The 25,772-nt window shown below is 36.2% G+C and overlaps 1 protein-coding gene, 1 non-coding gene and 1 pseudogene across 3 annotated transcripts in view; 2 read left to right on the top strand and 1 right to left on the bottom strand.

Annotated features, from left to right (window-relative positions):
• MLLT3 (MLLT3 super elongation complex subunit) overlaps window positions 1-25,772 on the top strand; it is a 280,831-nt gene that overhangs the window by 195,483 nt on the left and 59,576 nt on the right. For both annotated transcript variants that reach the window (NM_004529.4, NM_001286691.2), the window contains exon 5: window positions 12,592-13,296. In NM_004529.4, coding sequence (NP_004520.2) covers window positions 12,592-13,296 — 705 coding nt within the window. The remainder of the gene's footprint in view (window positions 1-12,591; window positions 13,297-25,772) is intronic.
• Window positions 8,590-8,696, bottom strand: RNU4-26P (RNA, U4 small nuclear 26, pseudogene; annotated as a pseudogene).
• MIR4473 (microRNA 4473) lies at window positions 15,779-15,869 on the top strand. Its single transcript, NR_039684.1, has one exon. It is a non-coding gene; the product is annotated as a microRNA 4473 (primary transcript).

Genomic DNA, 25,772 nt, shown 5'->3' with positions numbered 1-25,772 from the left:
GCAGATTTGTAAAGGCTTCTTCTTGGTTTCTGTTGAGACTCTGAGGTTTAGGTCTCCAAATGTGCTATAGGGCCCAGGTTTGGTCTTTAGAGACCCAGGAGAACACAGTCATGCGTGTGTCCTTAGGGCAACCCCATCTTTCATGAGTGATTGTAGTTCACATTTTATGGCCTGCCTTTTATGTTTCTATTTCTCTTTCATATACTCTTGATTCTTGAACTTTTTCTTTATTTTTTTAACGGCCCAGCAATGAAGTTTTGTTGTAATTATCTAATATCTAGTTGTATCATAGTAAGAACTCCCAAAGAGTCCACCATATTGCCCAAATTAGACGAGTTGTTTTCTGCAAAGCCATAGTATTTAACAGTTTCAGCATATTCCTTTGCGTATGCTGGAGACCTCATAAATATGTATAAAATAACTACTGAGAGAAGGTAACAAGATAGCATAAACCTGATTATATTTTCCCATTGTTCAGTTGCATCTCTTTGGGCTTTTATTTATGCAGTATATTTATTAAATTTGTGTGTGTCAGGTACTGTTTTTCATTTTATACTTCCAGCCATTATTTGTGATTAGTAATATAATCTGAAGATTGGCTATTCTCTGTTATTTAACGATTATTTATCAAGGCTAATTATCAGAAATCAAGCTAGTACTAAGAGAGAAGGCTGGAATGATCTGGCCAATGTGTTTTTAAGCTGGTTTAATAAAGCAGGAACTGTACAAAGCTAAATATACAAAAACCTAGAAAGAGAAGTGATATAAATATTACTTCAAATTTTTAGTTTCAAACCACAAAGATAGGCAGAAGTTTACTTGAAACTACAGTCTTCTAAATATAACTTACAGTCAGTAGTACTTAACTATGATTTAGAACTTAAGCCATAGCAAGTCAGGGAGTATATATAAATAGGAGAATTTTAAATGAAATTGGATTCTGAAACAAAAGGATTTTATAGCACGTACAACATAGCTGAAACAAGTCATAGTCATTTGAGGAAAAAAGGGCATTATATATTTTGTCTATTTAAAATATTATTTTGTAAAATATTAAATATTTTTGCCAATCAGTACTTTACACTTAAGCTTCATTTAAGTGCAAATACAGTACTTCAGGATATTTTTAATATTAAAAAATATTTATTGGGTTTACCTTAAATTCTTTAGAACAAAAGGCTGGGCAAATGAAAATTTACTACTTATTCTTTTCTCTTCATAGTTGAAATAAATTTTTTCATGTGTTTCTATTTCTCAATTATAAATATAATTTGTAGATTTTTTTCATCTTATTAATGATGTAAGCTAAATGTATATAACTCAAAGTGCAATCTTAGTAAGAAGCTACGTCTGTAGATTGATGCTTGATTGTAGTTTGCTCGAAAACAGTAAGATAACAAATGACATCAGAAGGAAAATTGAAGTGTTTTTAAAACATAGAATGATACTAGTCACATTGTTGAATCATTTATCTTTTTATTTTTCTAATGCAAAATGTATTTCACAAAGTCTCTAAAGTGCAAATGAGTGCATGAAAAGGAAGAGGATAAAGTACATTTGTGAAGTCGAAGATATTTACATGGCTGAAAAAAATAGCGAAGTGTTTAACAAAAAGTAGAAGTCCTATGTTCTAATCTTCCTGAACCTCCTTCCGACTTTCTGGAAGGAACCACTTTAACTGTTTCTATATTTAAATTCTAAGGTGAATGTCCAGAGTTTCCTAACTATATGCTATGCTGCTATTTTTACATGAGAATCTAACCCATTTGCTCCATATTATACCATTTTAATGACACCTAATATGACACCATTTTAAATTGATCTCTTGGATACCTTTATAACTTTCTAGATGTTTAATGTAGAACTATATTAGTTGGCTCACCAACTATGGACAATGTCCCTTGATTCTCAAGTTCAGGTTATCCTAAAGTTATTTCCCTTCTCTTCTGTTCAGACACTTACGTTGTAAGGGTTGATAACATTGTGCTATGTAATAAAATGTTAAGTCTTCTGTGCTTGTCTGCACTAGTGGTGGTGGTAGTAATAGAAAGCACTCACATAGTTCCTGCTTTGTGCCCGGCCACATTGCATATACATGTTATTTATAAAGCACACACATATACAGACATAGGTACTTTACATATATTAAGCTTTTGTAATCATTAGGCTCACTTTGTGGTATAGGTAATATTGTGGTAATATTATGGTCCTCATTTTACTGACAAGAAAATTTAAGGCACTTAGCAAGTGGTGGAGCTGAGTAGATTAGTTTCCAAAAGTTGAAAATCAGTGAATATTGTTTATTGTTATCACTAGGTAGAATGTTTATTTGCAGCTAAAATGTTAGATTTTCTTTCTTGCACAGCCATATATTTTTGTAGCTTTTGGTTTTCTTTATTGCTGCCTGTTTTTGTGTAAAATATTTCAAATTCTCTCTCTTCCTAATGACAGCCTATAGGGGCCCTTATAAGATTCTCCAGTTTTCTTAAAACAGTGACCTCTCCCGCCTCATCCTTTTTGGAGGTGATTATTTATGTGATTTGAGCACTATAAATTTTTATGACTTCAAAATTTGAAAACATTTAATGTGAGATGAGAAGTATCTTGCAGTTTTCTGAAACCCTTTGAAATAATTGGAAGCATCATGTGCTCTGCCAGGGCATTATAGGAGAGGGTGATTTTTCTCAGTATCACAAGAGCCCTCTGAACACAACTCTACTAATAAGTTTATCAACTTAAAAATATTTATTTAGTACCAAAAGACTCAAAGTTTAACCCACTTGAAATGTATACAAGAAGAGCCTCTGATTTTAAAATAAATTACAGTTGCCTCTCAGTATTCATAGGGGATTGATGGGTTCCAGGACCTTCTCAGTTGCCAAAATCTATGAATCCTCAAATCCCTTGTACAAAATGGCATAGTATTTGCATATAATTTATGCACATCCTCCTGTATGCCTTAAATTATTTCTAGATTTGTTATACTACTCAACACAATGTAAGTGCTATGTAAATAGTTGTTATACTGTATTTTAAAATTGTGCATTATTTTGAGTTTTCCCCCAAATATTTTCTTTTCTTTGGAGATGGTCTTGCTCTGTTGCTCAGGCTGGAGTGCAGTGACTTCCTAGGCACAAGTGATCCTCCTGCCTCACCCCTCGCGAGTAGCTGTGGAACTACAGGCATGCACCACCACCACACTCAGCTAGTTTTTTTTTTTTAATTTTATTTTAGTAGAGATGAAGTCTCACTATATTGCCCAGGCTGGTCTCAAACTCCTGAGCTCAATATCCACCCGCCTTAGCCTCCTGAGTAGCTGGGACTACAGGCACATGCCACTACGCCTGGCTAATTTTTTTTTTTTAATGTAGAGATAGGGTCTCACTGTGTTGCCCAGGCTGGTCTCGAACCCCTGGGCTCAAGTGATCCTCCTTCCTTGGCCTCCCTAAATGCAGGGATTACAGGTATGAGCCACTGTACCTGGCCTTTTCCTGAATATTCTTGGTCCGTGGTTGGTTGAATCTGTGGATACAGAACCCTTGGATATGGGGGGCCAGGGGGGCCCATTGCATTTTTTAATCACCTGCCAAAAAATAATATTTTACCCCCTCTACTGGAAATAAATAGAACTTCATTTGTATAGTTCTGCCTAGACAACAGGCATATTTTTGATGATGTTCTTTTACAGTCATTGAGCCTCTCCCCCATTCTATATCTTCTTTCATTTCTGGCCCAGGTTATATTGGCAAGATTGACAGCTGATTTTGAAACCCACTGACTTTACAAGTGTAAATAAAAATGTAGTGGTTAAGACTATAAAAATATAGTGGTGGTGCATGCCCTTAGTCCCACAGCTACTTGCAAGGGGTGAGGAAGGAGGATCACTTGAGCCTAGAAGGTCACTGCACTCCAGCCTGAGCAACAGAGCAAGACCATCTCCAAAGAAAAGAAGTCAGACTAACTGGGGGCTTGAGTGTCAGTTTTATCACTAATTATATATGTGTCTTTGGGCACATTGATATTCGTACCTCAGTTTCCTCACTTATAAATTGGGGCTAATAATAGCTATTTCACAAGATTGTTGAGTTAATAATGATAAAACTTCTACATCAGTCTGGATTAGTAAGCATTCATTAAGCTATTACCGCTGCCACCACTGTCACCATCATTGTCACCATCACTGTCCCACATTGCTACCAGATGACCTTCCTAAAGTGATTAGTTAATATTGATCTCCTCTTTAAAGTTTTCAGGTGGGTTTCTTTTGTTTCCCAGATGTCACTACTCCCAGATGTCACTACTCTTTGCGGCTGCTATTAAGGCCTGTCTTTCCTAATAAATAATTGTCAGAATTCATAGTCAGGTATGGCTGAGGGGAATCTTTCATTATTCTCTCGAATCTCTCCTTGAACGGTCAGCATCATCTTTTGCTCTTTCATGTTATGTGTTGGTTCTTGCTTAACTGTTAGGATGATTGCTGTATCTTTCGTCATTAGTGCAAAATCCAGACTTATTTGTATTTCTGTAAGTGTGGTTATATCTATATTGGTTATTTTACAGATCTGGGTAAATTGAGGAATTTAAGGATGTAATTCTTTAGTTTTGTAAAACTGCTGCTCTTCCCTGGTCAGGTCTAGAAATGGCTTTATTATTTTGGATCTGCGAGGATATATTGTAGAGTTCCCTCTAACTTTCTGGTTGAATGTCACCTTAAAAAATGGGAGATTATTCAAAAGTCGAAACAAGTAAAACCTTCCAAAGCATTGTATTTCATAACAGGAGACCTTTCTTTTTCTTGAGTGTGTATAAATATTTTTTGTCCTTTTTGTGCACTGGCCACATATATTGTTTTGAACGAAAGACTCTTGGGCTTCTCAAGTGCCATTTCTCTTCCACTTGTGGCATGTTCTTTTAGTCTTCTGCCCATTGACTGAGACATGTTAGATTTTGGGTCTCAGTGGCTCTGTTTAGACTCGGTGTTTAAATAGGTTTTGATTCTTTAAAACACATTAATCCTACCAATTGTTAAGGTGTTTTCTGTTTTATAATTTTATTATAACATTAATTTTTAATAAAACATTTACAATATGAACTCATATCTTGCTAAAAATCCTATAAAAAGCATCAGCAGTCCATTTTGCTTCACTCTTTCCCTTAGTACATTCTCTCTCTCTTTCTCTGCCAATTGATGGGTTGATTCTTTTGGTATTTAAGTACCTATTTTGACATGTTTCTAAATTGCTGTCTCCTCATTAATCTTATTCCTTTTATGGAAAATCTGAGTTTTTAATTCAAGAAATTTTACATGCAAGAAATTTCACTTCTTTCAGTTAATGTAGAGAAGTAGATTGTAAATTTTCTTTAAGTCAGAATTAACTTGGCAAATTTCTCCTTAGGATTGGAACACTAAACATATATGTCAGGACATTATACAATTATATAATTAAAGCACTGATGTTGGTGAAACTTGTTTCTTTTACTTTCTTCATTATGTTGGGTATTATAATGTTTGCATGTTTTGTGGATCTTTTCCCAGTTTCTCAAAGTGAATACTAAGTTTAGCTTTGTACTTGGTTTCTCTCTTCTCCTTGTACCTCTTCTTTTTTGTTTAAAAAACAAACGCAATAAAGGCTATGAATTTTCCCTGGAGCATGTTTTTCTGTGCCTCCAGAGTTTTTTTTATATGAAGTGCTATTTTCATTGTTTTCTTTTGATTTATTTGTCTTTAATTTATTTATTTTATTTATTTATTTGAGACAGAGTCTTGCTCTATTGCCCAGGCTGGAGTGCAGTGGCGCAATCTTGGCTCACTGAAACCTCCACCTCCCAGGTTTAAGTGATTTTCCTGCCTCAGCCTCCCAAATAGCTTGGATTACAGGCCCTCGCCACCTGGCCCGGCTAATTTTTGTATTTTTAGTAGAGACAGGGTTTCACCATGTTGGCTAAGCTGGTCTTGAACTCCTGACCTCAAGTGATCCACCTGCCTCAGCCTCCCAAAGTGCTGGGATTACAGGTGTGAGCCACTGTGCCTGGCCTAATTTTCTAATTTTCTTGGAGTAGGGTAGCCAATGTAATCTATACAAACATTTTAAAAGGGGTGTTTTAAAGCTTATGTTACCTTATGATTGATTTTTATCAGTGTTCTATGGATACATATAAAACTTCTGAACTTTATTCAAGGATAGCATTAGGAGATACACCTAATGTAAATGACAAGTTAATGGGTGCAGCACACCAACATGGCGCATGTATACATATGTAACAAACCTGCGCGTTGTGCACATGTACCCTAGAACTTCAAGTATAAAAAAAAACGAGATAGAAAAATTCTACGTATAATTATTAAATGAGCGTGTGGGTTGTTTTGGTCAATTATACTGTGTCTGTACTCATTGTGTTTTATGAGGTCTGTCAATTTATGACAAAGATATATTGATTTCTCATTTAACTAAGTATTTTTAAATCTTCTTATTAAATACCTTTTGCTTTATATAATTTAGATTTTTACATTTTTTATCCTATTTGGTACTCTCAACGTTGAATTCCACATGATCTGATATTAATCTAGCACTCATACTTTCTTTTGGGGGCATTTAGCTGATATTTCTTTGCCCATTCCATTATTTTAAACTTTTTTCAATCAATTGATTTAAAGTATTTCTTGTAACAGCCTTTATCTGATCTTTGTCTTTTTAGCCCAGTCTGACAGTTTATTTTCCAGAGGGAGAATTCAGTTCTTCCATTTTTATTCTAAGTTATACTTGATCTTATTACTGTCTTTTCACCTTGTTCATTATTCATATTTGTGACTTTTTTCACTTTTCTTAATTTTGCCTATATTTTCAAGTTGATATTCATTTTCCATTTTCCCTTTATGTGACAGTTCTGCACTTTTCCATTTAATAAATGACCACCTTCCTTTCTAATTGCTCATAATCCAATTTTTATTCCACTTTAACATAAAAAAAGATACCAGCACTTTCTTTCACCTTGACACCCTAATCCTCTTTCATTCCTAAATTTCTGTGGAAATAATTTAGTTGTTTAGGTCCAGATTGTTAGACTTTTCTGTGTCAGGAATTCATGTTGAGGACTTATATTACAGTTTTTTTTTCATTTAGATTTAAATCTGTATATTGTGCAAGATACATTTTACCCCTCATTTCTTCCCTTCCCACACATAAAACGTTTCTGGTTCAGTTATTGTTTGACTAGACTCTTTTCTCAAGTCCTTTCCTTTGGCGGGGACAGTGGTTGATGTGCTATTTGAATTCTTAAATTTTGGCAAATACTTCTTTCGCAACAGACTGTGTGTGTGGGATATTTGGGTTCTACTTCTTTTTCTCCCAGCTGTCTGGATGTTACTGTTCTTTCTTCTAGATTTCAGTATTACAAATGAGAAGCACAATGTGAGTTTAATTATTATTCAATTTTAAGTAATTATTCTTTCTGGATACTTGTCAGGTTTTTTTTTTTCTTTCCCTTTTTTTTTAAGTATAGTGAGCTCTGTGAGATTGTAATTCAGCCCTCTCTTTAGTTTATGAAAATTTTTTTCCATATTACTTTAATTATTACCTCTTCTGTCTTTTCTCTTTCTTCCTTCTGGAACTCTTCTTATGGCTGTATGTTAGGTTTCCTTGATCCATTCAAGGCTCTTCTCTTTTCCCATTATGACTTTCATCGCTTTGTATTTTTACTTTGTGCTTTGAAATTTCATTCATTTGATCTTTTATACTGCCAGTTAGCATCGATCTTCTACTTTATCTACTGAATTATTCAGCTTGAGAATATAAATATTTAAATTTTAGTTTTTAATTAAACATTTTTTTCCAGAAGTTATTTTTTATACTTCACTTGATTCTCCTTAAGTAGTCATACTGCTTTTGACCTCAATATTTCATCTTTCTCCTCCAGAAAATCTGTTAGATCTGCTTCCTCCTATTTCCTCCCACCCTTAAGTATGTCACTTATATGTGCATTGGGATTGAGGTTGAGCTGTTAGGGGACTTTAGGCTGTTGTAATTCTATAAGTGATGAAAGGTACAGGCATCTCAACCTGCACAGTAGCAGCAAGCATATTATCTATTTCTTGTTTATACACCTAGAGGATTCTGTGCCTTCCTTCTGATCTCCTTACATTCTGCAGCCCTAAGAGCAGACTCTCCTCCTGTATCAAGTGCCTTCTGAGTGCTGGGAAGGCTGGCCATACCTGTGTGCGTGAAACTCTCCTGGAAGCTGGGTATGGTGGCACGTGCACCTGTCGTCCCAGTTTGTTGGGAGTCCAAGGCAGGAGGATCACTTGAGCCCAGGAATTCCAGGCTGTAGCATGTAGTGATCATGCCTGTGAATAGCCACTGCATTCCAGCCTGGGCAACACAGCAAGACCCCATCTCTAAAAAAAACAAATAAACTCTTTTGGGTCAAGCAGAGCAAATCCTGCACCAATTATTTTTCTCAAGACGCCCGTTAGCTCGTGGCCACATTCTTCAGGCCACTGCCTGCTGCCCCCAGAGCTAACTAGTTCAAGAGACGTAAATGGGGTTAGATTTGGGATTGAAGTGGGAAAAGTAAATCAAATTCAAGGCCTCCCCTGACCCCAGAATTCTGAATTTTAATACTCCATTCGTAGTTTCAGTTAGCAGTAATTGTGCCTCGCATAAACCTCATTGGCTATGATCCTGCCACTGCACAAAGCTATTTGTAGTTTCAGATGGCTTGTCATCCCTCTGTGTTATTCATTGTGTGTTTATTGACATTTTAGAGGAGACTTGTATTTTGGAACCTTACCTTTGACTGTCACGGTTTTTCCTACCCCTACATATGCATAACCTCTTGGACCACACTACAATTTTTAGGAAGTGTCCTTGTAAAAATGCAGTTTGAACAAATAAACTTCTAGGAGAGTTTGTTGGTTTTGATAAGTAAAACTCTTCTGGGAGAGTTTATTTGTCTATATGCAAATTTCATTGAACAAAATATGATTGATCTGAAAATCTTTCACAAGACAGAAGCCAGTTAAAGTAGAACAGAGACCAAAAATAAGAGGGATAGCCAGCGGGAAGAAACGGAAGCCAAGAATCAGCTATGAGTTGTCAGTGGTTCTTAAAAGTAGACTTGGAGATAACATGGAAACTGAAAGCCACATATAATCAGAAAACCTTATTCTGGCCAGTAGTTCTGATTTTTTTCTTAAGTCCTCCACTTGAGTTGCTGACAAGTAGTATTAGAAGAGATTAAACATTAAAGATACCCATTCTGTTCCAAAAAATTAAAACAAGGAAGCATTCAGTGCAATCTGAATAGATGAGAGAAAATATTGTATCCTATAGTCACAGGTTGTAAAGTTAGTGCAAATATATGTATATTTATGTTTAAACAATCATTTGCCTTAAATATTTGAGATTTGAATTATGCACACGTGCTCTCTGTGTTAGATTGCTTGATATTCAGTTTGTCCTAATCAGCCTCAGGCGAAGAGAATTTGAATTATACATGTGTAAACTTTACATTGAATGCTAATTAGTCTGTGCTGCTCAGTGGTACTTAACGTTGAGGTTAATGGTTAATTGAAAAATTTAAAAAGCCAGTGACAAGACCCCCATGTATATTATATATATATATCAGATATACATATTTATATATAATATATATATTTTTATATAATATATGTAAATATCAGATAGGCTGAAAATCAGCGAAAGCTTTTAATCTGTGTCAGTGACAGTTTAATGTCTGGCTGTGTATCTGAGCCACTGTTTTACATTTATTACATGTACAAACATGGAGACTGGTGACAAGACCCCCATATATATATAATATATAATATATATATATAAATATCAGATAGGCTGAAAATCAGTGAAAGCTTTTATTCTGTGTCAGTGACAATTTAATGTCTGGCTGTGTATCTGAGCTACTGTTTTACATTTATTACATGTACAAACATGGAGACTGGTGACAAGACCCCCATATGTATATAAGTATCAGATAGATAGGCTGAAAATCGGTGAAAGCTTTTATTCTGTGTCAGTGACAATTTAATGTCTGGCTGTGTATCTGAGCCACTGTTTTACATGTATTACATGAACAAACATGGAGACTGGTGACAATATATTTGAACTTTGACATTGGTCATGGGCCCAGGACAAAGAAAATGCTGCCTTAAAAACTGCTCTCTCTCCTTTTATTTTTTAAATTTTATTTAAGACATTGTTATGGAATGTGTTTGTCCTCTTTTGTTCTCTTAGCTTAAAGATTTTTGAGGTGGTAATTACAAAAAAGGAAAGAACAAGAATGTCTGGGTCACTTGCTTGTACCAAGATTTATTGAGTGGATAAAAAGGTAACAGTAGACATTCAATACCCAGACCAACATGAGAAGTAAAACATTATAAAAAGACATATTTCTAGAGTTTTGTACCTAGCATTATATGCATGTAATTAAAAAAGGAACTTAACTTTTTTATGACACAAGAAGCTGTGTCAGATACCAATGTGTACCCTGAATTAAAGAATTCCAGTTTGTTCTAAAGAAGGATTTTAAAAATATATCATGGAAGGATCTATACAGAAGTTTTATTTTCCTTCCTGGTGCTGGAGTGTTGCTGTTTTTTAATACTTAACATTAGAAATATGTTGGTAGGTTAAAAATTGTATGCTTTTAAAACTTATTTACAAAATATGTGTATAATACTTCATATAGGTTGAATATTAAACAGTGATACTTGAGTATTCTAGAGCCATAATTAGAATACTGATTGCAAATTTTCAAAAATCAGTAAGTCAACAAGCCTATTGAAAAAAACTCAAGGATATTAGATTTCAAAATGTTGTTCCTTAATTTGGTTTGTCCATTATACTTTATTTTAATTATTCATAGTATTGCTTAACATGACAGGAAATGTAATAGAATTTATAAAATAATGAAATTTTAGTAATATGAATCCTATCTTTAGAATTTTCCTTTTAAATCTCAGATTATGATGTTTTCTAAGGAATTATCTAATTTAGTGCATAAAAACAAGTCTTTGCTTAGTAACTTCATTCAGTTTAGAATTTTGAAACCACTCCAGAAAATAAATGGAATAATTTTGTTATATGTCATTTTGTTGTTGAGCAAATGAGACAAAAAAAAATTTATTAAGAAACCAAAAAATATATTTCTACTAATATAGAACAATAAGTTTTCATTTGGATATTACTTTGTGATGCTTATACATGTACCTATATATATATTTTTTGTTGTTTTGTTTTTGCATATACCCAATAAGTAGATTGTTCATTTTAGTGAAAAGCATAGCCCCTGCTTGCTTACTGTCCTGTGTCATGCTAGATATTTAAGGAATATAGGATTGGTTTACATATCATTGGCTTAAATGGGTGAGTTAGGGTGAAAGATAATAAGCAAGCCTGAAGATGTAAATTCTAGTTGAAAATCTGGACATTTATTTGTCTTTGGTTCCATTAGGAAGTGGAAGTAAGCAAGAAAGAGCTCTTCTTTTAGTATTGATGTGGATTTTTGCATGTCCAGGATCTTCTCTGTTTCTTATTCTTACTATTAATGGTAGAGGTTCACAAATATGGTAAGTATGGACTTAGATTTTGTTCCTAAACAGAAAGATTATATATAGGTTATATATTCTGATATGTTTATATGAGTGGAAAAATTGATCATATTTAAAATGAAATAGGCAGCAATTACGTCTTTTCTCATGATCAAAATACAGTAATTGCTAAAGACTTTCTAGTCCATTTGATGGTTAGGTGAAATCTTTGTTCTATTAACTTCCTTTTATTTTTCCTAGTGGGTGAGAGATACAGTTCTTAACTGATGAAATTTTATACAGCATAAAAATAATTGCTTTTTATCTCAAATTGAGAATTACTTTATTTCTTTTGGGGGGGTTTTATGATTCCTTATATTGCAAAGCCATTTGAAATTTAATGTAATCTGACCTTACTATGTGAAGCTGGGCTATTTTTCTGCCTCCTTCTCAATCTTGTTCTATAGCTGGGTGTTCCCCAAATACAATCTGTGCTTTGCTCCCTGTTGTTTTAGTTTATTCTGGTCCTTGGTCTCTTAAGTACCTTTCCATTCTTTTCATTCTAGTAACTACCTGTTTATCCTCCAGGACCTAATTCAGATGTTACTTCTTTATGAATTTTTGAATTATTCTTCGCCCCATGCTCCCAACAGAATTAATAGTTCCCGTCTTTTGGTTGTCAACATCTATCAATCATAGATACGTCATAGTTATTAAGGGTGGGGTCCATGTGTTATTCATCCTTGTATCTTCTAGGACAAGCAGTAGTTAACATTTGTTGAATTGAAATGTTTTAAAACTCCATGCTTCAGATGATTAAGAAAACAGCTTTCCTCATTAAATTATTTGATAATAACCTACTCTCACCTGTTTCTCACATACACTATTCTCACCTGTTATATTGTGGTTTTTGGTTTATATTAAAATATTTTTGGTATTTTAATGATAGCTTGAGAGGAATCAAAGAAGGATCATTTTATGTAGATCTCTTTTGACTCTTCATTGCTATTTAGTTTTGGGAGTTTCATTTTCTTCTCCCCTTTTTGCAGGACCCTAATAGGAGTATTCATACCAGCAGCAGCAGCAGCAGCAGCAGTAGCAGCAGCAGCAGCAGCAGCAGCAGCAGCAGTAGCAGCAGCAGCAGCAGCAGCAGCAGCAGCAGTAGCAGCAGCAGTAGCAGCAGCAGCAGCAGCAGTAGTACCAGTTTTTCAAAGCCTCACAAATTAATGAAGGAGCACAAGGAAAAACCTTCTAAAGACTCCAGAGAACATAAAAGTGCCTTCAAAGAACCTTCCAGGGATCACAACAAATCTTCCAAAGAATCCTCTAAGAAACCCAAAGAAAATAAACCACTGAAAGAAGAGAAAATAGTTCCTAAGATGGCCTTCAAGGAACCTAAACCCATGTCAAAAGAGCCAAAACCAGATAGTAACTTACTCACCATCACCAGTGGACAAGATAAGAAGGCTCCTAGTAAAAGGCCGCCCATTTCAGATTCTGAAGAACTCTCAGCCAAAAAAAGGAAAAAGAGTAGCTCAGAGGCTTTATTTAAAAGTTTTTCTAGCGCACCACCACTGATACTCACTTGTTCTGCTGACAAAAAACAGATAAAAGATAAATCTCATGTCAAGATGGGAAAGGTCAAAATTGAAAGTGAGACATCAGAGAAGAAGAAATCAACGTTACCGCCATTTGATGATATTGTGGATCCCAATGATTCAGATGTGGAGGAGAATATATCCTCTAAATCTGATGTGAGTAGTTCTTACTGGCTTTCTTCCTTTCCCTTATTTTCAGATTTTATTTTGGATAGCTTTGTAATAAAGAATGAGGGAAGAAAATGAATGCTGAGCCATAAAATGGTAGCACAGAGGTAGATCTGGCCTAGAAATGCATTTCCTTAACTAATGAGAAGGAAGAAATGAAGTCATTAAGGAATCTGCAGAATTTTAGGCTGTTATTTAAGTTGTTAAAGGAAAGATATTTCCATAGCATTATAATGGGTCATTTGAATAGCAGCAGAAAATTTTGTTGCTCATCAAAGCTTGGTATCTATGCTTTCCAATGAGTGATGACTTAGGAAAGTGAGAAGAATATAATAAAACTTGAATACAAGGGAAAATAAATTTAAAAGAGAAACTTAGAAAATATTAGGGCTATAATGTTGATGTTTTGATCATTGGAATGAAGTAACATGTTTATGTTGATAGAAGGCTGGTGATAGTATTTTTTTAACCAGTTTTATTGAGGCAAAATGATGTAACAATATACTACACATATGTAAAATGTATAATTTGATAAATTTTAACATTTGTGTATACCTGTAAAACCAGGCAGTAGCATTTTGAAAGAGAATATTTAATATTTTTCTTCATTGTTTAGCCACTGATTTGGAAGGGGTGGGGTATGTGATCTTCATTCACTACAAGTTTTTGCTAATGGGTAGGATTATCCTTTGTGGATGCCTAAGAGAGCATCTGACCATCTAATTCCCCTAAAAGGTGTTTTTTGATATTGGGGTTTAAACTTATAATTACAGATTTTCAGCAGTGGAAGGGATTTTCAGATTATCTATTTTAACCTCTGTAGTAAACCTTACACTTCTAGTGACAGGGTTGTTACTAATTCAAAAGTATTTGATAACGTTTTTGAAGAATAAACATTACTTTGAAGTTATCTCCTTACTTCACTATTTTTTCTAATTTTGGCCTTTTTTCAGTTACTTATTAGTAATGATCAGTCCCAATAATCTCCTTACATTGGCTTGACCGTATTTCTAGGCAATGGTCAAGGAAGCTATCTGGCTAAAAATAACTGGCAATCTTAGAACACTTTTCTTTCTGTCCCTTGGGCTGCCCACAGATGTCTCTAGTTTAAATGCTGGCAAAGGCTAGGAGGGCATAGTAGCAGATTTGCTGTGCCGGGTTTGTACTGTTCTGGGTAGAAAGCCAGTCAGGGTCAGGACATGGTGCTGACACTGATCCCCAGTGGTCCACAGATCTCCCTACTCTCTATAGCTAATCTCGAAATTTTGGTAGAAGATCAGATTAGGACAGTAGCATATAAAATACTGGACATTGGGAAAATTTGTTCCAGTATTTGGTAAAGGCTTTATAGTCATAATTTATGAAATGGAGATGAGAGTTGAATGTGTTTGTTCCAATAACTCAAGTATTTATTTTTCCTTCTTTGCTTCTTACCTTTCCTCTTAACTTGAAGCTTATTCTTAATGCAGATGTTACTTGGACCTTTTTTGTGTGTGTTTGACTTTTGTTTCCAATCACCCTGAAATGCTGTTGGGTTGTGATTATTCAATCAAAATTGTCAAATTTTGCAACTTTGCCATTTTATATTCTAACACATTGCAATTCTTCTAGTATAGAGGTTTTCAAATCATGGGTTGTGATTCACTAGTGAGCTGTGAAATAAATTTAACGTATCACTAGCATTAAAAAAATCAGAAAACTATAATTAGTATGGGTAAGTAATGGCTTATGAAAATTTTATTTCAGAGAAGGTGTGTGTGTTTCTTATAGTGGTCAAAATTTTGAAAGGCACCTTTTTAGAATGTTTGCCGATTTATGAGAAGACCAAATGGCGTTCATAAAGCATCATTGAAAGCTCTTTCTACATGAAACACAGATGGTCTTCCTCTTTAGGTAATTTTGTTTATTCTCCTTTTGTCTGCCTCTTGCTCCCTCCCATTTATATATGATTTATAAAGTATGTCTTCCTTTTAATAAAATTCTTGTTCAATTTGATGTATTTATTCAAAGTATACCTTGAAAAGTCTTCTGGAATGAAGAGTTAGAATTGGAAAACTTTACAGTAGGTAGTAAATTTTCAAAATGGTATATGACATATTAGAGCCACAAATCCAATGATTACAATAGTAGTTTTTGTAATGTACTCTGCATAGCATTGCTGAGAAAGCCTGTAAAGACTTTCAGGTACTATTTGTGTATAAAACCCAACAGCCGTACTTTCCTTATTAGTCTTCTGGTACTAGTAATGGCTTTATTGTTGTTGCTATTGGTTCAATACTTGAAAAGTAGGTAGCGTAACAGAAGAGAATTAACAAAAGTGATGTCATGTAAACCATGAACCCAAAGGCCTTTCTATGAGCAAAGGAAGGTGAGAGAGAATTGAAATTCCATTTATCCAGTAGAAAAGACAGGCTTTGTTTGGACTGTCTCCTACCTGTCCTACCTGGCATCCCTCCTGCCAGCAAGACAAAAGGAACAGGGGACACTTGTAATGGAGAACACTAAGCTATGGACTGCTATGGACTGCTAGTGCTCTCCGTTACAAGTATCCCCTGTTACCTTGGCTAGTAATTGACTTGGTGGCTTGGGGCAGGCCCAACTTCAGGGGTGACTGTGCACATTGTCCTAGTTGTGTGTCTGCCTCTGAGTAAGTGTGATTAGATGACCTGATCTCTCTAAGGTCCTTTCCAGCTTTATTAGTTGAATATGAGCCAGATTCGTATTCATTTGTGGGACATGGGGTGATGGGTGATTTTAGACATAATGGGCAGAGATCATGGACTTTGGAAACAGAAAAAAGACACAAATAAATCAGAAGAATTTGAAGTATAAGGAAGGCTGGGGAAAATGATTATTTGTCTAGTATGTCTATAAAGAAAACATCTCGCCTCAGTATAGGTCTTATAGTTTAAAAAGATGAACATTTTAAAGAACCTTTTCTAGAATCAAATTCTACTCAGGTTTTATATAAAAATGTCAGTAGTATTAAGATGGGTTAGGAAGCTTAGATTATTAATTGATATGGTCCTTTTTGGTAGGATTTTCATATCCTTTGTATGTGAGAAGAGAGAAAGAAGTTGGACATCCATGGTTTGTATGTCTGGCTGGTGTTTGAGGGATCGATCACTTATTTGTTGATAAGTGAAAGGTAGGTAGATAGGTAATTAGAATTCTGCTGTCTGGTGTCAGACAGGCTGTGTCTTAAATTTCAGTGCCACTAGGGATCTTGGGCAAATAATTTAACTTTCTCTGTTTCTTAGTTTCCTCTTTTATAAAATGGAGATCATAATAGTATCTTCTTTGTAGGATTATTGTTGAAAATTTAATAAATCAATGTGGGTGAAACGTTAACACACTAATAAAAAAAATGTAAGTTAGCTATTGCTATGTATGACTTGACTTCTGGGTACCTATATAACCTGTAGCTTTGAAAGAGATTTTTTCTCTTTCAAACTCAAGATTTTTTCTCTTGCAGAACTCTGGTGTCCTTTTTCAAGGTTGTGGGTTTATATGCTGCAATATTTGGTACTCTAAGCCACTTTGTTTTGAGTTTTGTCTTTTGTCACTTTGCTCTGAATTTTGTCGTCACAAGGTGTATGGTCTTGATGTTGATATGGTTCTGCTACATGATCAATGTAAAAATACAAGATAAAAAGTCTTAAGTTTTAAGCTGAAAGATAAGCCAAAGTGTCTCAGATCTTTCAGCTTTTTAATTAAATGAGATAAAGGACAAGAACATACCAAGTACTGCACTGGGTAGGCACTTGGTAGATTTTTGTTTTTTCATTTTTGTTTTCTGCTGTTGCTGTTAAAATATCCTAAGAAATGATTTATCTTTGAGTTACTGTTAATATAACTGAAAGAATAATTTTTAAATACATTTTGTGATTATTGAAATGTTTCTCATAAAGAGATGTAATACTGTCACATGAAAGTTTGTCAACAAATTTCCCCTACAGAAGAATTTGGTAGGGGCTTGGATAAGGTAGACAGGCAGAAGGACTGTGTTATAGTGGGTGAGCATTTAGCAAATACAGAAAGCATGATAGGGGAATGTTTTTGTTAAGAATATTTTACATTCAAGAACTGAGGCTATTCCCATTAGAGTACAGTGGTTCCTGGTTTAGGAGTTCATCTCTTTGGGGTACATGATATTCCACTGTACTTACTGTTTAGTAGGTAAGTGACTGGTGACTGACACTAACAGCTGCAAAGGGAGTGTATCAGTGTCAACTAAAGGTTTATAATTGTATTTTTTATTAACCTGCTTAAACTTTAATTGATAATAGGGAAAAAACCAAATATCTTTCACCTCTTCTGTAATTCCTGTTTTTGTTTTTCATATAATTTTGCTCCTGAAGAGAAGTGTATAGAGTTGATCTTGTCTTCTGATATGAAGAAGTTTGGTATTCACAGCAGAGGAGGAAAAAAACAGTAAATGAAAATTGAGATAACCACGTATGATCAGATTCAGTTATGGTGGTAGTTTTCTTATCATTGCCTTCCTCTTTCTTGCCTTACTTTGAGGATTTAATCATAATTTTAAAGTGAAGAAGTAAAAAGTTTTAATGATCTTTCCCTGAAAATGGACAAATTACATTTGGCAAAATGTTACATCCTTCAGCCTGCAGCATGAGAAGAGAGATTTCAGTCATGTCTTTTGATAGTTGGAGCTTACCAAGGGGTTTTCTTGGAGAAAACCTTCTTGAAGGAGAAAAACAAAATCTCATCAGTTGGCAGCATTTTTCCCAAGGGTGGATGGTGATTCCGATGCAGGATAAATGCTTTAAATCACCTTACCAGAAATTTCTTTCAAAAAGAAAGAAGGAAAAAAAAAACTTCCCTTCTTTTGTTGTTTCTCATTTCCTCCCGCCCCACCCTGTTCATTGCCCTGCTTAAACTGTCTGGAGCTGGTAGTAAACGTCCTGCTGTTGAAGCATTGGCCTTAGGTTTTTATGTGATGGAAGGTTGTTGCAGTCAGAGAAGAAGGTCTTTATTGTGTTTTCAAAGTGGCTTTTTAATGACTTGTAATTCCAGCACATGCAAGAGCTGTAAAGTCTGTAAGTATGGTGAGGGAGCAGCTGGAGAGGCCATTCATTAAAGGGCTGCCCTGGCTCTCCAGGGGGCAGGTTCTCATCGGAGGCTCCTGTTTTCTGTGTTTTATAACTGGAGGTAAAAATACCTGAACGGTTACAGTTCTTCCTCTGGTAAATTCTGCTCAATGTGGAACATTAATTGAAATTACCAGACAAAAGTTAACTTTGTTGGGTGCATGGAGATGTTTCACCTGTCCCTATTTTCTAACGCATTTTTTTTTTCTGTGTTGGGTGTGATCACACTGAGGAGGAGGCAGCCTTGCCAACCAGCTGTTCATTTATTCATCCATATTCCTGGTTTATTTGAAAAAAGCAGTTAAAAAGGAGATTAAAAAAAAAAACAGTTGGAGGCCTTTTTGTTTCCGTGTTTCAGTACATACTAGGGCCAGTGTGGTATCTCAGTTCTTAAATTAAGGAATTCCTTAGAAGCCCTTGGGTAGCAGAAGGTTGTGAATACACAGGGGCTCTATCTTTGCAAAGCTGGTTGTCATCAACAATTGGCAAAACTCAGCATTTCCACTGACATGTATTGAGCCAGAATCTCTCTTCCAATAAATTCTGTGAGCCTTCTTTAAGAGAGCTACATCACCTATTCAATGCATTATTGTTTCTTGCTTTATGACCTATGCATTTGATGGAATTATCCCATTTGTCATCTTTAGACATAAAGCCAACAATGGGACTCAACATGGGCTTTGCAAGACTAGCATTACCATACCACAGAGATGCCTTATAGCCATAGCTAAACTTGAGTGTTTAGTCTGTTAGTCACCCTTCTATGTACTTAACATGATTTAACTCATTCACCCCTCGAGACAGCTCTGTGAAATAGGTATTATTATTATTATTGCCATTTTATGGATGAAAAAGCTGAGGCTCCAAGATGAAGAATCTTCCCCAAGGTTGCCATCTTTAGAAGTGATGGAGCTAGGATTTGAACCCACTTGATAGGTAGTGTACCTACCTAAGAGGAGGTTGGTGGTAAAACAAATCTTATTCTTCCTTGGATTCATACTAAAATTGTAGAGGTGTGCTACATGAAGTTGGCAGTGCTGCTGGGAAAGCCTTGAATATCTCATGTTGTCCCCCATATGAATCCTGTTTCTTTGACCTATTGGTTTGGGCTTTACCAGTGGCCTTCAGGAGGTGACAGGTTGTCCTCATAGGTGGATTTGGCATGCAGAGCCAGGATTGAGGGAAGAGCTGTGAAACATCCAGGAGCCTCTAGCTTCTTACACATCCTCACTTAAAATAAAACTGACTCTCTTGGGTCTAGATTGCACCTTATTATACTATATCATCAGGATTATTTTTCTGTTTCCAGAGTTTTTCCCATGTGCTTTTGCAAGAGAATTTATGTTTCACAGAGCTGAGCTGCAATATCAACCTTTCCCAGAAGATGCCACCAAATAACAAATGGTGTCCTCCAGTTTGGAGACTCCTTTCTGAATTTCCTAGTTACATTTTGTAAATTCATGTTATAACCTCTCTAAGTTATTCAAAATGTAGGCTGTGCTTTCTTTGAATTAGGAGACAAGATAATGCAATGGTAGGAGTAGACAGAGGGTTGTTTTCTTTTGGTGTCTATGTAATTATTTAACCAAGTTTGAGAAATTGTTCTCAGAGGGTTACAATTTATGACTGTAAACTTTGCAAGCAGTGTCAAGGTCCACAAGGAAAAATCACCCCTAAGCAGCTTCCTTAGGTCACCAAAGGTGATTGTGCAGTGATATATTCCCAGATAAAGTCAAAGATCCTGCTATTAAGCAGGATAATATGGAGAAGCATTTACTAAAATGTTTGAAGACAACACTTTTATCTTTGAATTCTGAAAATATAGAGGTTAGGGATGTGGGAGTACAGGGATAGGAAGAAATATTCAGAATCTGTGACACAGAAAAGGTAATTTTCTTGCCTTTCACGGTCATAGAAGGAAAATACATATATGGGTCCCTCAGGTATTACTTTAAATAAATAGAGAAAGAAAGAAATTACTAGAGTGGCCCTGGTTTGAGACCTCAGTGCTTAGAATCACGGTACTGGTTTTTAAACAATAAATTGCTGACCTTTGCTTTATTATGTGACACTCCTATTTTTTTAAGTATGATAAACTATCATGTCACTTTAAGTTATTAAAAACATTTTCTTCTAGATGTGTTTAATGGTTTGTAATATTCTTTCATTACTCTAATAATGTTCAGTAACGCTTAAAAATATGTATGTGGTAGGTACTTCCTATGTACGGTCACTGCATGAGGTGGTCCAGATAGTACAAAGTTAGAATTTGAGCTGGTCTTTGAAGGAAAGAGGCATGAATTAGTAGAGATGAGGGTGTGGGGTCAGTGGGAGAAGACTTTCTATTTATTTTTGAGACAGGGTCTCGCTATATGGCCCAGACTGGTCTCAAGCTCCTGGGCTCTAGTGATCCTCCTGCCTCAGCCTCCCAAGAAGCTGCTGGGGGTACAGGAGAAGGCTTTTTTTTCTTTTTTTCTTTTTTGTTTTAGGTGGAGTCTCACTCTGTTATCCAGGCTGGAGTGTAGTGGTGCAATCTCGGCTCACTGCAGCCTCTGCCTCCTAGGTTCAAGCGATTCTGCTGCCTCAGCCTCCCGAGAAGCTGGAATCACAGGCGCATACCACCATGCCCTGCTAATTTTTGTACTTTTAGTAGAGGCGGGATTTCACCATGTTGGCCAGGCTGGTCTCAAACTCCTGACATCAGGTGATCCACCCTCCTTGGCCTCCCAACGTGCTGGGATTACAGACATGAGCCACCACACCCGGCCAGAAGGCATTCTTGATAAGAGGAAACAACTTGGAAAAAAACACAAACAATTGATGACAAATTGTGTAAATAGTTTGTGTTATCCTCTCTGAGAATGAAGAAGAATCTCATAAATAAATTCCTGCAGTTAATTTATCAAACTGGTTTACTGGGAATGAAAGAAACCTTATTGAACTCTACTCCCTCCATGGTAGACCTGTGTGGGACTCTTTTATTTTATATCTTCTTACTTAATCTATACAATAGGTAAGATAGCTTTTGTTCTCATCTTACAGGTGGAAGTGACAGAGCAAGAATTCGAATCCAGGTCTGAATAATGCCAAAATTCATGCTTCTTGTATTGTACCACTGATGATTAAACCTTGTTCAGAGGGAAGTCATGTCGAATTAAAACCACTGTGATATTGACTAAACACTTTTGAGAAAATAAAATTTAGTACTGTTAACCTTCCCATCATCTGACATCCTCTGACCATCTGGTAGTGGTGCCACATTCTGGTGAAAAGGGAAGAGTAAGAAATAAAATGTAGCCACAGTACTTGGAAACTTGGGTGTGAGTAATGGACTCTGGCATGATTTCTAAAATGCTGATTGAGTCTTGCTTTATGTAACCTAATATCATTTTCTGAGAAGCAGAATTGCAGAAAGTACTGAAAAGCTGTGGTACCTTAGAGTCTATCTGAGGGAACTTTTCCCTAATGTTATTAGGTTGTTTCATATATCTCATTTCTAGGGCCAAGGACATGGCCAGTGTTACTACGAGGGCTCCAACCTATTGTATTGATATTATATTGTATTATCTAAAGGTTGCACTCATGCATCTCCGGGTGGATTATGTCAGAAAAAAATTATAATAAAATAAATAAAGGTTGCGCTCATGGAGGATCTGAGGAAGGAAGGTAGGGCTTCCTTCCTTCCTCAGGAACATAGCCATACCTGGCCAGTCAATTATCTTTGTGGGCTCAGGAGGAGTGGTCCAGGAAGTGTGGTACAAGAGTCTACACTTGGAATAAAAAGACTAGACAGGCTGGGCACAGTGGCTGAAGCCTATAATCCCAGTGCTTTGGGAGGCCAAGGTAGGAGGATTGCTTGAAGCCAGGAGTTCAAGACCGGCCTGGGCAACATAGTGAGATCATGTCTCCACAAAAATATTTAAAAATTATCTGGGCGTGGTAGTGCACGCCTGTACTCCTAGCCACTTGAGACGCTGAGGCAGAAGGACTGCTTGAACTCAGGAGCTCTAGGCTGCAGTGAGCTATGATCACATCACTGCACTCCAGCATAAGCAATGTAGTGAGACCGTTTCAAAATCAAAAACTAAAACTAAACAGGTTTAGCTTTGTAGTAGAGAGCCGTAAAATGTGGATTTAATAATTAGTAATGCTCACCTTATTATAGATGCAAATTGCCATTCAGGTATTAGTTCAAGCAAAATATTAATGATGTCATAGATGAAGACAGCTTTTGTTAGGTAATTTTATCAATTGCATTATGTGAAGACCTGATGTTGGCAGGGGTTCTTGTAAAGATTGGGAGGCAAAACTGCAGTCTAGGAACCTAGTGATTTATAATCCATGATCACAGAATGTGTTTTTATTCTTGCATATATTTCTAAAACGTCATTTCCTATTTGGCCTAACGCTTCATTTTATTGGGAATAAAAGCAGAATCTTTCTCAAAGTCCACCTTAGTTTAAAATGTTTAGTATCTGACTGGGCGCGGTGGTTCACACCTGTAGTCCCGGCACTTTGGGAGGCCAAGGTGAGTGGATAACTTGAGTCTAGGAGTTCAAGACCAGTCTGGGCAACATGGAGAAATCTCATCTCTACAAAAAAATACAAAAATTAGCTGGGTGTGATGGTTCTCACCTGTAGTCCCAAGCTACTTGGGAGGCTGAGGTGGGACAATCATCTGAGCCCAGTAAGTTGAGGCTGCAGTGAGCCATGATTGTGCTACTGTACTCCAGCCTGGGCAATGTGAGTGAGACACTGTTTCTGAAAAACAAAAAAAAGTTTAGTATCTGATCAATTCTACTCAAGATAACCTAATTTCTAGGGCATTTTTAGTAATATAAAGTATTCACTCTATTTTCACGTGTCCTAGTTCACATTATTTTGCAGCGTTATTTTAATTTAAAGTGAGCCTCAGACTTGTTGATCTTGTGGTGGGTTATTTTAAAGTGCTAAGTTATCTGATGATCTTAGTTAAGAATCAGACAGGGCTAGCACATTTACTGTTGTTTACCAAGCCTCCTGTCATTGTCTATCAACTTTCAGAGACTTGTAACAAGTCACTTCCTCCCCTTTAAAGATAAGTCATGCATAGTCCTCTGTGTTTTGTATAATAAACCAATAAGCCTAATAGTTTACCTCCTCCAAAAAACAAGATTTGAAGGAGGGAGGTTGTGTGTTATATGCCACCCATCTCTTTATCTTCATTGGGCCTGTAGATACATTAACAGCTCTGTGGTCTCTCTTCTGTATTTAGAAAACCTCTCAAGGCTTAGGTACTCTTTTTGAAGGTTTAAGACCAAATTTAGAAATCACATACAGTTTTATACAGCATTTATTTCATGAGTTAGATAATCACAGAGTTTTTAGAACAAGAAACTTCAGAAATCTCATTCAACAACTTGAATTTTGCAGAAGAGAACTGGAAGCCAAGTTTAATAACTTGCCCAAGATCCTAGGGGTCTCATTGTTTTTTTTTTTTTAAAAGGGGGCCCTCGGATGCAGGCCCCCAGTTGGCATGCCATTATCGATCATTTCCAGTTTGCAGTGATTCGCACATCCTTCACTCACTTTCCCAAACTCTCCTCCTCTAGAACATTTTAAAGTGGTTCCTAGTGAGTTGTTACCATTTAAAAACTAGCCCTTACACACTTATTTAAGCCTGTCAGGCGTACGGCCAATGTGACCTCTTGGTCCAGCATCTCAGCCTGTGCCCCTATGTTGAATGAATGAACCTCATATCCCATATCCCCAGCTGAATTCCACCTGCAGTGCTTCATGTCTTGTCTAAAAAAGGGTAGGGTGCAAATCCCAAAGGATGTCATGTAAGTTAATTGGTGAGAATTTTGATAGACTTTGTGTCCTGGTCATCCTTTATTGTCTCTGGGATATTGCCAACCAGAATAATCATGACTTGATGTATTTCAGGGGGGAAAAAAATCACTAGGCAAAACGGAAAATGACACATTTAGGTATCTGGCAAATCAAAAGTCTCAGTATTGTTTCATAATAAAAACATGGAAAGAGGTTTTAAAAACTCCAGTGTAAATGAAGCCTTTACTTGGACAAACTGCTGTTCTCAGCGGACGAAACCCAGATCCTCCTCCGTTCCACCCTCCAGGTTCTTCAGTATCTGACTCTGTCCTGGATTGTTCTTCTTAGTCTATCTACAAATATAATGAGTCATCCTTCAGACCAAACATACCTCCCTGCAACTTTCCAGTGAACTCTGGTGCTTTTTAGACTATGGCACCTTCATATCCTTTCTTTCTCTGATGGACATCTCAAAAGCTCCCTTATTCCTCAACCCATTGTGGTCTGGCTTTTGCTCTTGAAACTGTTCTTAAAACTACCGCTGGAAAAGTTCACTAGTGCCTTCCAGATCCTAATGTAGAAACCATGTCCTAAGCATTGACTTTGACTTTACTGGCACTTTTGACTTACTTTTTGCTTGATTCCTTGACTCTGTTATACCTACCTTGATCTCACTCTGTGTGAGTCTCCTTTACCTGCTGACCTTCCTCTACCACCATTAAGTTAGCCATTCTCAGTTTCTCCTTTTCTATTATATAGTCGGTCCCTGGACAATCACCTGTTACCAATATATTTTTTACATCTTCTTCAACGCCAACTATTCTCAAAAGCTACCAACTGGACAATTCTGATCAACAGGTACTTGAAACAGAACAGATACCCAGGTACAACATATTCTAAAGTATCTCTTGCAGACACTGCTAGTTATCTATTCAATATCCATTATCCTCTTATTCTTCTAACAGAATGTTTATTTTATTATAACAGTAACATGCCTAACAAAAAAGTTTCCCCAGCCTTCCTTGCAGTTAGACATTATTCTGTGACTGAATCTGGCTAATGAGATATAAATGGCAGTTATTAGGTGGGAATTACAGGGAAGTTCATTAAAAAGAAGCTGACTCACTGGTAGGTACCATTTTGTCTTTCCCTCTTCTGCTTCTTGCCTGGAACTGGAACTTGGAAGTGATGACCGGTGCTCTAGCTGCCACGTTGTTAGAAGCATATGGAAAGTATGGAGGAACACAAAGACAGGAAGGGGCTGGATTCCTGATTCTTGACCTTGTAGAGCTGCCATGCTGATCCTGTCTGTCATACTGGGTTTCTCATTTAATGAAAAAAACAATGTTAGTTCATGATGTATACATTAGTGCCAGGTGGGCATACTCCCTAACTGATTTAGCTGTACCCATTATCCCAAAACACCTTCCTGTGTTTTCTAATTAGGTAAATATATATTCCATCTATTTTTATTAACCTAAATTAGAAAATCAGTTATTAACATATTTTTTCAAAAAATACTTACTGTCTATTATGGGTTAT

The sequence above is a fragment of the Homo sapiens genome, chromosome 9 (assembly GCF_000001405.40).
Source record: "Homo sapiens chromosome 9, GRCh38.p14 Primary Assembly".
Classification (NCBI taxonomy): domain Eukaryota; kingdom Metazoa; phylum Chordata; class Mammalia; order Primates; family Hominidae; genus Homo; species Homo sapiens.
Note: the sequence above shows the minus strand (reverse complement) of the source record. Positions and strands in the feature narration are given on the sequence as shown.